This window comes from Homo sapiens, chromosome 12, assembly GCF_000001405.40.
Source record: "Homo sapiens chromosome 12, GRCh38.p14 Primary Assembly".
Classification (NCBI taxonomy): Eukaryota; Metazoa; Chordata; class Mammalia; order Primates; family Hominidae; genus Homo; species Homo sapiens.
Genome location: NC_000012.12, coordinates 54819642 through 54830525, shown reverse-complemented (window position 1 = coordinate 54830525; position 10884 = coordinate 54819642).

Here is a 10884-nt window from a genome sequence, read left to right as displayed (position 1 = left end):
AGGACAATGAAGTTCCAAATTATTCTCTGCAAATTTATGCCAACAGGAAGGAGGTGGACAGATTGGTAGAGCATATAGTCAGTAGGAGTTCAAGAAGGGAGTTTCAGCCAACTGAGAATTTTCCATGAGAGAAACAGGATAAAATAGAGAGAATGGAGAGGCCTCACAAAGAGCCAAGAAAAATTTCCCACTCAAGACTGAGAGCCAGGAAGAAAAACTACCAACCCAGGAAGTCAGGGATCAATCCTCCCTCCAGACAGAGAGAGACAGGAAGAAAGACTGCTAGTCCAGCAGGTATCTTTCAAACAAAGAAGTCTAGGGCTCTAACCCACCTCCTTTTACCTGGGACTAACCTAGTTTCTTATAAACAGCTGCTCATAGCCCAACTTCTTGCAAACAAAGAAACGTGGGCCTCAAATTCAGCTTCTGTTATTCTGAGACTCTAATCCAGATTTTTCAGTATACTCAGAATCTTAAGAATCAAAATCTGTCCTTAGCTTCAGTGAACTGTCATCTAGAGCAATGGTTCAGGAATCTGACTCACCAACGGATTCCTGACCAGTCCCTGGGGATTGAAGACAAAGGGTTCAAAGGAACACATGTAAGGCCCTGGATGAGAGGTCGGGGTACAATGATGACGACTCTGACTCTACGCAAGTCACAGGCACCATAGCTGTTTAAAGAAGAAAATATTTATGGCACTTGTTAAAGTAGACTTTATTTAAGGGGGGAATATCATGATAAATGTACGTTCCATCTCAATGGGATTTTACAACATATAAAAAGGAAAGTACTTCCCCTTCCAGCACATAACTGCTGGGGAAAAAAAAAAAAGGAAGATATACAATGACCAAATAAGACTTATCCCAGAATGCAAGACTTCTTCAACACATGAAAAAGTCAATCAATGGAGGGCACCATCTTAAAGGAATAATGGACAAAAACCACATGATCATCTCAATAACCACAGAAAAAGCATTTGAAAAAAACCCGTGCCCTTTTTTGATTAAAACACACACACACACACACACACACACACACACACCGAATAAGATAGAAATAGAAGGATATTTCCTCAACCTGATAAAAGACATCTACAAAAAAACCTACAAGTAACATCATAATGGTGAAAGCTGGATGCTTTCCCCTTAATATCAGGAAAAAAACAAGAATGTCTATTTTTACCCCTTCTGTTCATTGTTTTGGAAGTCTATCTAGGGCAATTACACAAGAAAAAGGTAGGCAAGATTCAATATCAAGATTGGAAAGAAATAAGTAAAACTATCTCTCTTTGCAGGTGATATGACCTGGTATATATAAAATACTGAGGGGTATACTAAAAAGAAAAACTATTAAAACTTAAGAACTAGCCAGGCATGATGGCTCACACCTGTAATCCCAACACTTTGGGAGGCCAAGGCAGGCAGATCACTTGAGGCCAGGAGTTCAAGACCAGCCTGGCCAACATGGTGAAACCCTATCTGTACTAAAAATACAAAAATTAGTTAGGCGTGGTGGCACACACCTGTAACCCCAGCTACTGGGGAGGCTGAGGCAGGAGAATTGCTTGAACTCAGGAGGTGGATCACGACAGTGTGCTCCAGTCTGGGCAACAGAGTGAGACCCTATCTCAAAAAGAAAAAAAAAGAACTAGTGAACTAGTTCAGCAATGTTTCAGGATAATAGAATAAATATTAATAAATCAATTGCACTTGTAAACATCAGCAATGTATAATCCAAAAGTGAAATTAAGAAAATAATTTCATTTGTAATAGCATCAAAAATAATGAAATACTTAAGAATAAATTTAACCGAAAAAGTGTGTGATGGTTAATTTTAGGTGTCAACTTGAATGGGTTAAGGAATGCCTAAATAGCTGGCAAAGCACTATTTCTAGATGTGTTATGAGGATGCTTCCAGAGGAGATTCGTGTGTAAGTCAGTGGACTGAGTGGGGAAGATCCACCCTCAATGTGGGTGAGTACCACCCAACTGGCTGGGGGACCTGACAGAACAAAAAGGCAGAGAGGAGATCAATTCATTTTCTCTCTCATTCTCTCTCTCTGTCTCTCTCTCTGTCTCTCTTTATCTCTGCTGGACCTGAGACATCTTTCTTCTCCTGCCCTTGGACATTACAACTTCATCCTCTCCAGCCTTTGGACTCCATAACTTAGACTAGCAGCCCTCCAGTTTCTCAGGCCTTTGGCCATGAACTGAAAATTACACCATTGGCTTCCCTGGTTCTAGGCTTTTGGACTTGGACTGAGCCATGCTACCAGCATCCTAGGATGTCCAGCTTGCAGACAGCCTATCATGGGTCTTCTCAGCCTCCATAATTGCACGAGAAAATTCTCCTAATAAATTCCCTCACATATCTATATCTATAACTATAGTTATGTCTATTTGTATCTTCTATTGGTTCATTCTCTCTGGAGAACTCTAATAGAATGTCCAAAACTTGTACATTAAAAACTAAACAACATAATTAAAAGAAATTTTAAAAGACCCAAATAATTGGAAGAACATCCTGCATTTATGGATCAAAAGACTTCATATTGTTAAGATGGCAATACTTAACTAACATTTGTTAGTTCACAACCATTTAATTCACTCTCTCAACAAATATTTATGAAGCATTATCATGTGCCAGTTGTGATGCTAGGCAATAGGAAAACAATAATGAAAAAAAAAACAGAAAAATTCCTGCCCTCATGAAATGTAGATACTATTGCAGGAAATACTATAAACAACATGCATAGTGCATAGTACATTCAGTGGCAATAAGAATAAAGAGAAAAATAATATAGAAAAAAAGAGATTGGAAGAATGAGTGATGACTGCTGGGGAGTCAGAGTTACAATTGTTAGAGTTGCTAAAGGAAACCTTACTGATCAGGTGACATTTGAACAAAGACTTGAAGAATCTGGAATTTACCATGTAGTATCTAGAGGCACTGTATCCCAGGAAGAGGAAAGAGAACATTAAAAAACCCTTCCAGTGTTTGTAGTCTTTCTACAATAGCTAAGATCGAGCTATGCACCATGATATAAGTAACATGCCCTTCACTGGAAGAGGAAAGAAAGAATCATTTCAGTTGCTACAACACATCAGGATAGCCAACCGTGAGATGGCACATGTCCTTATCATAACCATAAGCAGGCCTCACCAAGGTAAAATGTCTTCTATATTGTGCTTGGCAGAGAAACGGCTGCCCTACATTTCCTGAGACACCTAAAGAGGTGGATAACTTTTTACCTGTTACAAAAAAGCATTGTCTGCAGCTGGATAACTCTGGTGGCTTAAAGGTTCTTCTTTTTCAGAAAAAAAAAAAAACTTTATAATACTGAAAGAAATCAGATGTTGGAATTGTCTGACAAGGATACCCACTCGCTGGGTGGGTATCTGCCCTTTGGAGCAACACTGAACAAGCCTCTTCTTGTTTTCACAGAATTCATCAGGCAACTGCAGATACTGGAATTATCAAGAGGTGGTAGCAGGTCTCCATCAGATAAATTGAGCAGGGCACATGGATATCCTGAGAGAATGATCTGTAAACTCAAGAATACAGGTTGACCATCACATCTTAGATAACCTCATCTCTACCATGAGAAACAGGGCTACCATCAGAATGTAAGAGGCAGCAAGGAGTTAGAATTGACAGAAAAGGTTATATATTTCTTTTTAAATTAATGTATATCAGGGCATAATACAGTGCTCAATAAACACATTCTGAGGACAAACAAAAAAGATGGAAAGATTAAAAGATGGTGTAGAAGTTTCCAGTTCAGACAATGTGATGTACAATTGTTCTTCTCTACTCCTCCCTGCTAAATACAACTGTAACCCCTAGAAATAATAGAAGAGGCACCAAACAACAACTCTGAAATGGGAAAAAAGAGAAAGTTAGACAGGTTAGAGACCACGTGACTGGAGAAGCAATATAGTGTCAAGGCATCTTAGGACCTTCGCCTGTCCTCCAACAGAAAAGGGTGACCCAGGTCTAAAGATTCCCAGTCTCAAACCTAGCAACAGATAGTGTCCAAGCCCCCAAAATACCAGTTGAGTCTGGCAATAAAAATTTGTTGGAATCCCCACTGACAATCAGTAGCCAGGAAAAGTGCTCTCCTTTTCATTCGGGCCTAAGAATCCACAGCTCAACCAAGAGACCCTTGACTTCCAGGGAACAGCAGCAAGAAACACTCCACCACAATCAGCAGCCCAACCTAAAAAAAAACAAAAACAAAAAAAAAACTCTTTGTACCTCACAGTGAAGAGGGAAGAGGGAAACTGGCCCACCTGTACTTTTGTTTCTGTTGGGCCTGAGACTCCCCTCTGCTATCAAAAGACCATGTGTTTGGGAGACAACAGCAAGGGGAATCTGTCCACAAGTGGCCTGGAAGCTTCTTTGTCCCCACAGACCAGAGACCCCCTTCTCCAACTTACAGGTACCAGGCAGACTGGCCTAAGAAAGTGCCAGCAGGAACCAGAGGGAGCCACAGCAGTAACAAATACACCAAGAAAACCAAAACAGCTCTTCAAAGGCTTTGGAAATTCAATGTAATTGGAACCACAACTCACAAAAGTAAAACAGACTCTGTGTGCTACACCTAAACACAGTGACCATCTGCTAAAATAAAACATTTAAATACAATCCAGAGTCTCCTAACATAATAGTAAAACTATCTAGCATACAATTAAAAACCATCATGATACCAAGAACCAGGACAATCATATCTTGAATGAGAAAAGACAATTCATTGATGCCAATACTGAAAGGAATCAGATGTTGGAATTGTCTGACAAGGATATTAAAGAAGCCATCATTAAAATGTTTCAAAAAATACTTACAAATTTTTCTGACACAAATGAAGAAAAAAAAATTAGCACAATAAAATGAGATTAGAAAATTGTTGAATTTAAATTATGGAACTAGAAAATACAATAACAAATGAAAAACTCAATGTATGCGCTCAATAGTAGAGAGGAGATGACAGAGCACGAAATCAGGGAACTTCAGGACAGATAAACAGAATTTATCCAATCTGAACAATAGACAGAAATTAGACTGAAATAAAAGAACTAAGCCTGGGAGAATAGGGTAATAACTAAAGAGCCAATATTCACATCATTGGTGTTTAAGAAGGAGAGGAGAAAGAAAGTGGATCTTAAAGCAAATTCAAATAAATAAAGACAAAACTTCCTAAAATTGGGTAAAGATATAAACCTAGAGATTGAAGAAGCTGAGTGAACCCCAGATACAATAAATCTTTTTAAAAATCCAGGTCAAGGTACATTTTAATTAAACTTTTGGAAACAAAGCAAAATTTGATAAAGAAAATTTTGAAAGCAGGTAGGGAGAAATGACACATTATCTATAAGGGAACAAGACACATACTAAATAATTTTTCAACTGAAACTAAACTACGAAGGCTAAAACAGAAAGAGGCATATTTTTCAAGTGCTAAAAAAAAGAACCATCAACTGTAAGCTCCATAGCCAGCAAAACAGTTCTTCAGGAATAAAGGAGAAATGAAGACATTCTCAGATAAAGAAAAACTAAAAAAATAAATAAACAAAAATTTTAAAAAGTCACTAGCAGACTTACCTATCTTCAAGGAAGTTTCTTCAAACAAAAAGCTATTGATAAAAGAAAAAATATTGGAGCATCAAGAAGGAAGGACAATGGTAAGAGTAGAAATATGGGTACATAAAATAGACCGTCCTTCTCTGCATAAATTTTATAAATCATATTAGATGACTAAAAAAATAACAACATGTGATACTCAAGAAAAGTTGTAAAGAGACCTAAATGGAAATAAGATTTCCACATTTCACTCAAAGTGTTAAAATGTTGATACCATTAGACTGTGGTAAGTCACACATGCACATTGTAATACCCAAAGCAACCACTAAGAAACCTACAAAGAGATACACTGGAAACTGCAATAAATAAATCAAGATGAAATTCTAAAATGTATTCAAGAAACCTACAGAAAAGAAAGGAGATAAACAAAAGAACAAGAAACAGAGGAAACAAATAGAAAACAAATAATAAAATGACAGATTTTTGGAAGGCCGAGGCAGGTGGATCACGAGGTCAGGAGATCTAGACCATCCTGGCTAGCACGATGAAACCCGGTCTTTACTAAAAATACAAAAAAATTAGCTGGGCCTGGTGGCAGGTGCCTGTAGTCCCAGCTACTCGGGAGGCTGAGGCAGGAGAATGGCATGAACCCGAGGGGCAGAGCTTGCAGTGAGCAGACATGATGCCACTGCAGTCCAGCCTGGGAACAGAACGAGACTCCATCTCAAAAAAAAAAAAAAAAAAAAAATGACAGATTTAATTGTAATTACCATAAACATAAATAGTCCAAATATACCAATTAAAGGGCAGAGATTTTAAGGGAGATTAAAAGTATATATACATATATGTATATAAAATACAATAAAATAGAAAATTAAAAAAAGGATAATAAGGGAATACTATGAACAGCCTTATGCTCATAAATTTGACAATTTAGAAGAATTGTTCTCACTCATAGGTGGGAATTGAACAATGAGAACACATGGACACAGGAAGGGGAACATCACACACTGGGGCCTGTTGTGGGGTCAGGGGAGGGGGAAGGGATAGCATTTGGAGATATACCTAATGTTAAATGACGAGTTACTGGGTGCAGCACACCAACATGGCACATGTATACATACGTAACTAACCTGCACATTGTGCACATGTACCCTAAAACTTAAAGTATAATAAAAAAAAAGAAGAAGAAGAATTGGACCAATCTCTTAAAAAACACAAACTACCCAAACTTGATATGAAATAAGTAATATGAAAAAGGCCATAACAATTAAATAAATTGAATTCATAATATAAAAATCTCCTTTAAAGATGACTCCACTTCCAAATGGTTTCCCTGGAGAATTCTACCAAACATTTAAAGACATTACCAACAATTTTACATAATCTCTTCCAGAATATAAGAGGTGTGGGAACACTTCCCAACTCATTTTATGAAGCCAGTATTACTCCAATAGTAAATCCAGACAAAGGCAGTATAATTTAAAAAAAGTAAAAACTAAAGATCAATATTTCTCATGATGCAGTTATCAACAAAGTATTAGCAAATCAAATCCAAACCATATAAAGAGAATCATACATCATACTGAAGCAGTGTCATTTATCTGGGGTAAATACCTGAGGTTCATCATCTCATGCCAAGGAAATTGAGTACACAGACATACAAGAAGTGGGTTTAAGAGTGGTTTAATAGGCAAAAGAAAGAGAAAGGAGATTAGCTCTCTCTCTTCTGCCAGAGAGAGGGGTGCCCAAGTGGGACCTCCAGCCCACAGTGGAGTGCACAGGGTTTTATAGACTGGCTTGAGGAGGTGGTGTCTGATTTATGTAGGGCCCAAAGATTGGTTGGACCAGGTGTGACATTTACGTAGCACAAGGAGAAGCTGGCCACCCCACCCTAATATTATGCAAATGGTATCTTTGCCTGGTCAGCACCATGTTGTCTGCTTCTGACTGCACACATGGTTGGCAAGGAAAAGGGAAGATGGAACCACCATTTTGAACATGCCTAACCCCCAGGTAGCCCCTTTCTTATTGACACAACTGCCAGCATTCACCTGTGCAAGTTTCCAGCTTACTTGTCTATGTCTGTAGCTCAATTTTACTGGCTGTTCTTTGTTAGAAAAGAAAATGATTTGGGGGCTGCTTTTCACTAAAAGAAAAGCCTTACCGAGGACTTCCTTACCCTCACTATCTGCCTAAATAATTTCTTTTTAATTCCTATATCAATGCCAAGTGGTATTTATTCCAGGTATGCAAGGCTAGTGCAATATTCAAAATTCAATCAATGTAATCCCTCACATGAACAGGCTAAGTGATAAAAATCACATGATCACATCAATTCATGCAGCAAAAATCATTTGACAAAATTCAGTATCTAATCATGATAAAAATTCTCAGAAAACTAAGAATATAGCTATTGTCTTAGTTCATTTAATGTTGCTATAACAGAATACCACAGACTGAGTAATTTATAATGAATGGAAATTTGTTTGTCTTGTGGTTCTAGAGGCTGGGAAGTCCAAGAGCATGGCACTAGCCTCTGGTAAGGGCCTTTGTGCTGCATGCTCCCAAGAACAATGACAGAAGGGCAAAAGAGGGAGCAAGTGAGAAAGCAAACTCACTTTTATGACCATTTACTCTTGTAATAATGAACTCATTCTCATGACCATGACATTAATCCATTCATGAAGGCAGAGCCCTCTTGGCCTAACAGCCCTCTTAACAGTCCCACTTTGCAGTACTATCCCAAAAGTGATTAAATTTCAACATAAGTTTTGAACTTATGTTTCTATTTGCTGAGCAAATAGAAAGTGACATTACTTATGCAGCGCCTTGAGGGAGTGGAGAGAGCTATGGCAGCCCCTAGCTCAGGCCACTCCAGGCTCCCACCTCAGCCCTCTACCCCTGGCTCCCCAAAACTCATGTTTTCTCACATGCAAAATACATCCAGAGAGTGGGTGGAAGATGCCGTGCCAGCAGGATGCAGCCTAAGGATCCTGGAGGTGGAGTAGGCAGAGCCCCGGAGCCAGGCCAGGGCTGGCCCAAGAAAGTGCCACAGCCAGAGCAGGCCACCCACTTGCCTCAAGCTCATCAGCTGCCCCTCCTCTCCCTGTGCCCACTCCCCCACAGGGCCAGAGAGGCTGCCATCACAGCTCAGAGGGAGTCGTGGCAAAGGGAAGCCAAGAAGCAGGTCCTGGGGAGGAGCCCACAGTGCTCCTCCAGGAACTGGCAATAAGATGGCAGGTCCAATGGGGAGACAGAGGCCAAGTCACTCAGCCTATCGTGGAAGGCCAGGATGCTGCCTTTCTAATGTGACTGTCCTGCTATCAGCCCTCACCATCATGGCAACTCTCACAACTTCGGTCCTGCTGTTCACACAGACTGTGGTGTCCAAGGCAACATTATCCTGGAAGTTCCTATGGTCCGTCTTCTTGGAAATCAGACACCACCTCCTCACCACCACCACCTGGGCCAGAGCACAGGTGCACCTTGTAGATGTGCCTGTGAGGGGACAGGATTCAGTGGCAGGCACTTATCCCAGCAGTTTCAGGTTCTCGGTTGTTGTTTCTATACCTGTAACAAATGACAGGGCCAGACACACTATATTGTAGAAGAAACCTCTGTAGAGGAGCAGGATGCAGCAGTCATGATGTGGCCCAAACAGTAGCTGTCAGGCAGATAGACCCTGCATCCACTCAATTTGTCCAAAGAAGCCCCCATATTCTCTGTGAAAAAGATTTCCAGAAGGTGTTGTCAACAACAAAGTCTAAAAAAACACACACACACAAAACCACCAACTCTAAAGATCATTCTTGCGAGTGATTTGAAAATCAACGTCAAATTCAAGTGGCAAGATACCACCCTAATAGCCAGATCTGTAGAGCCTACCCATCATGCCAGGGAAAATGCTCTATTCATCATTCCTTAGCTTCTGGTTCTGTTCAGAGTTCTCTCTATGTCAGAAGGGTTTTAAAGCTAGAGGGGCCTTTACCCATTTACTCATATTCACAGATCTGCATATGGAGGTCAAGAGGGGAAGTGACATGTCCCAAGTGAGAGCAGAGTCAAAAAGAAAACAAGACAAAAAATTACTGATCCTCTAGTGTATACTGGGCATTGGCTAGCTACTGGCGATATGGAGATGAAGAAAACATAGCCCCTTCTTCAAGGAGCAAAATCTAGCAAGGTAGACAGACTCTTTGTAGCCAAAAGCAGGCTTCCCTGCAGCAGAAGGAAATGTGAAATCAGGGTAATGATCCTCACCAGGGACAGGTCACCACACTGCACCAAGAGAATCATTTGTGGACCCGGGGCTATGGCATGGCCCTTCTTTGAACCTCTAGCTGTGCTGTAGTGTGAGGTGGGAGCCTGGAGTAGCCTGAGCTAGGGGCTGCCATGAGCTCTTTCCACTCCCTCAAGGCACTGCAGCATAAGTAATGTTGCTTTCTATTTGCTCAGCAAAATCAGGGACATAGTTTTCTAGAACATGAGGTGGCTCCCCTCCTCCCAGTTCAGTAGATGGTCTACTCTGCTTTGTGGGCCCTTGTTTGTGTTAGAGAAAGAACACTCCACATGGTTCTGAGTGGTCACTTGTGGCCCACAGGCCACTGGCAAGTGGAGCCAGAGCTGTGAAGCCCTTAGGAGCCATGGTGGGCCTGCTGCCCACCACGAAATACATACTCAGCTGCTGCTGGCCCACGTGTGGGCAGTTGGGCAGTACTACTAGTAACGTACAGAATCCTGGGACTAGAGTCAGTTACCCTGTATATACTCTGGGTGATCCAGGCATGCACTGCTGTGTTGGCCTCTATGAGCAGGAGATAACATATGGTGATAAAAAAGGAAGAGCTGGCCGGAAGAGGTTCAACCCAGGGTGAGGTTCATGGAAAGGCCAAAGACAAGATGGGGCCAGCATCCCAGGCCAGTGATGGCCTCACATCCACCATGCCAAGGCCAGTCCTCAATTGCTCCAAACCCTCTGCTTGAGGTTTCTAAATGAAATGAACAGGTCTTCCCTTCAGGGCATAAGTGAGCTTCTGAAGACAGTATAAAAATGCCAGCCTCCTGAACTTCCCCAAGTGACTGATGCAGAACAATTCCCACATGCTGCACAGCACAGTGGAGATCTTCGGGGGCAAACCGTGATGATCTGAATGACAGCACTGACTGTTGGCGACCTGCAGAGATGCCTGACCAAGAAATTGCAAGATGGAAGCAAAGGCTGGAGCAGGCCAAGGCAGAAATGAAACAGGCCACAGATGTTGGAGTGAGGCAACTGACCTCTCTGGCCCACAACCCGCA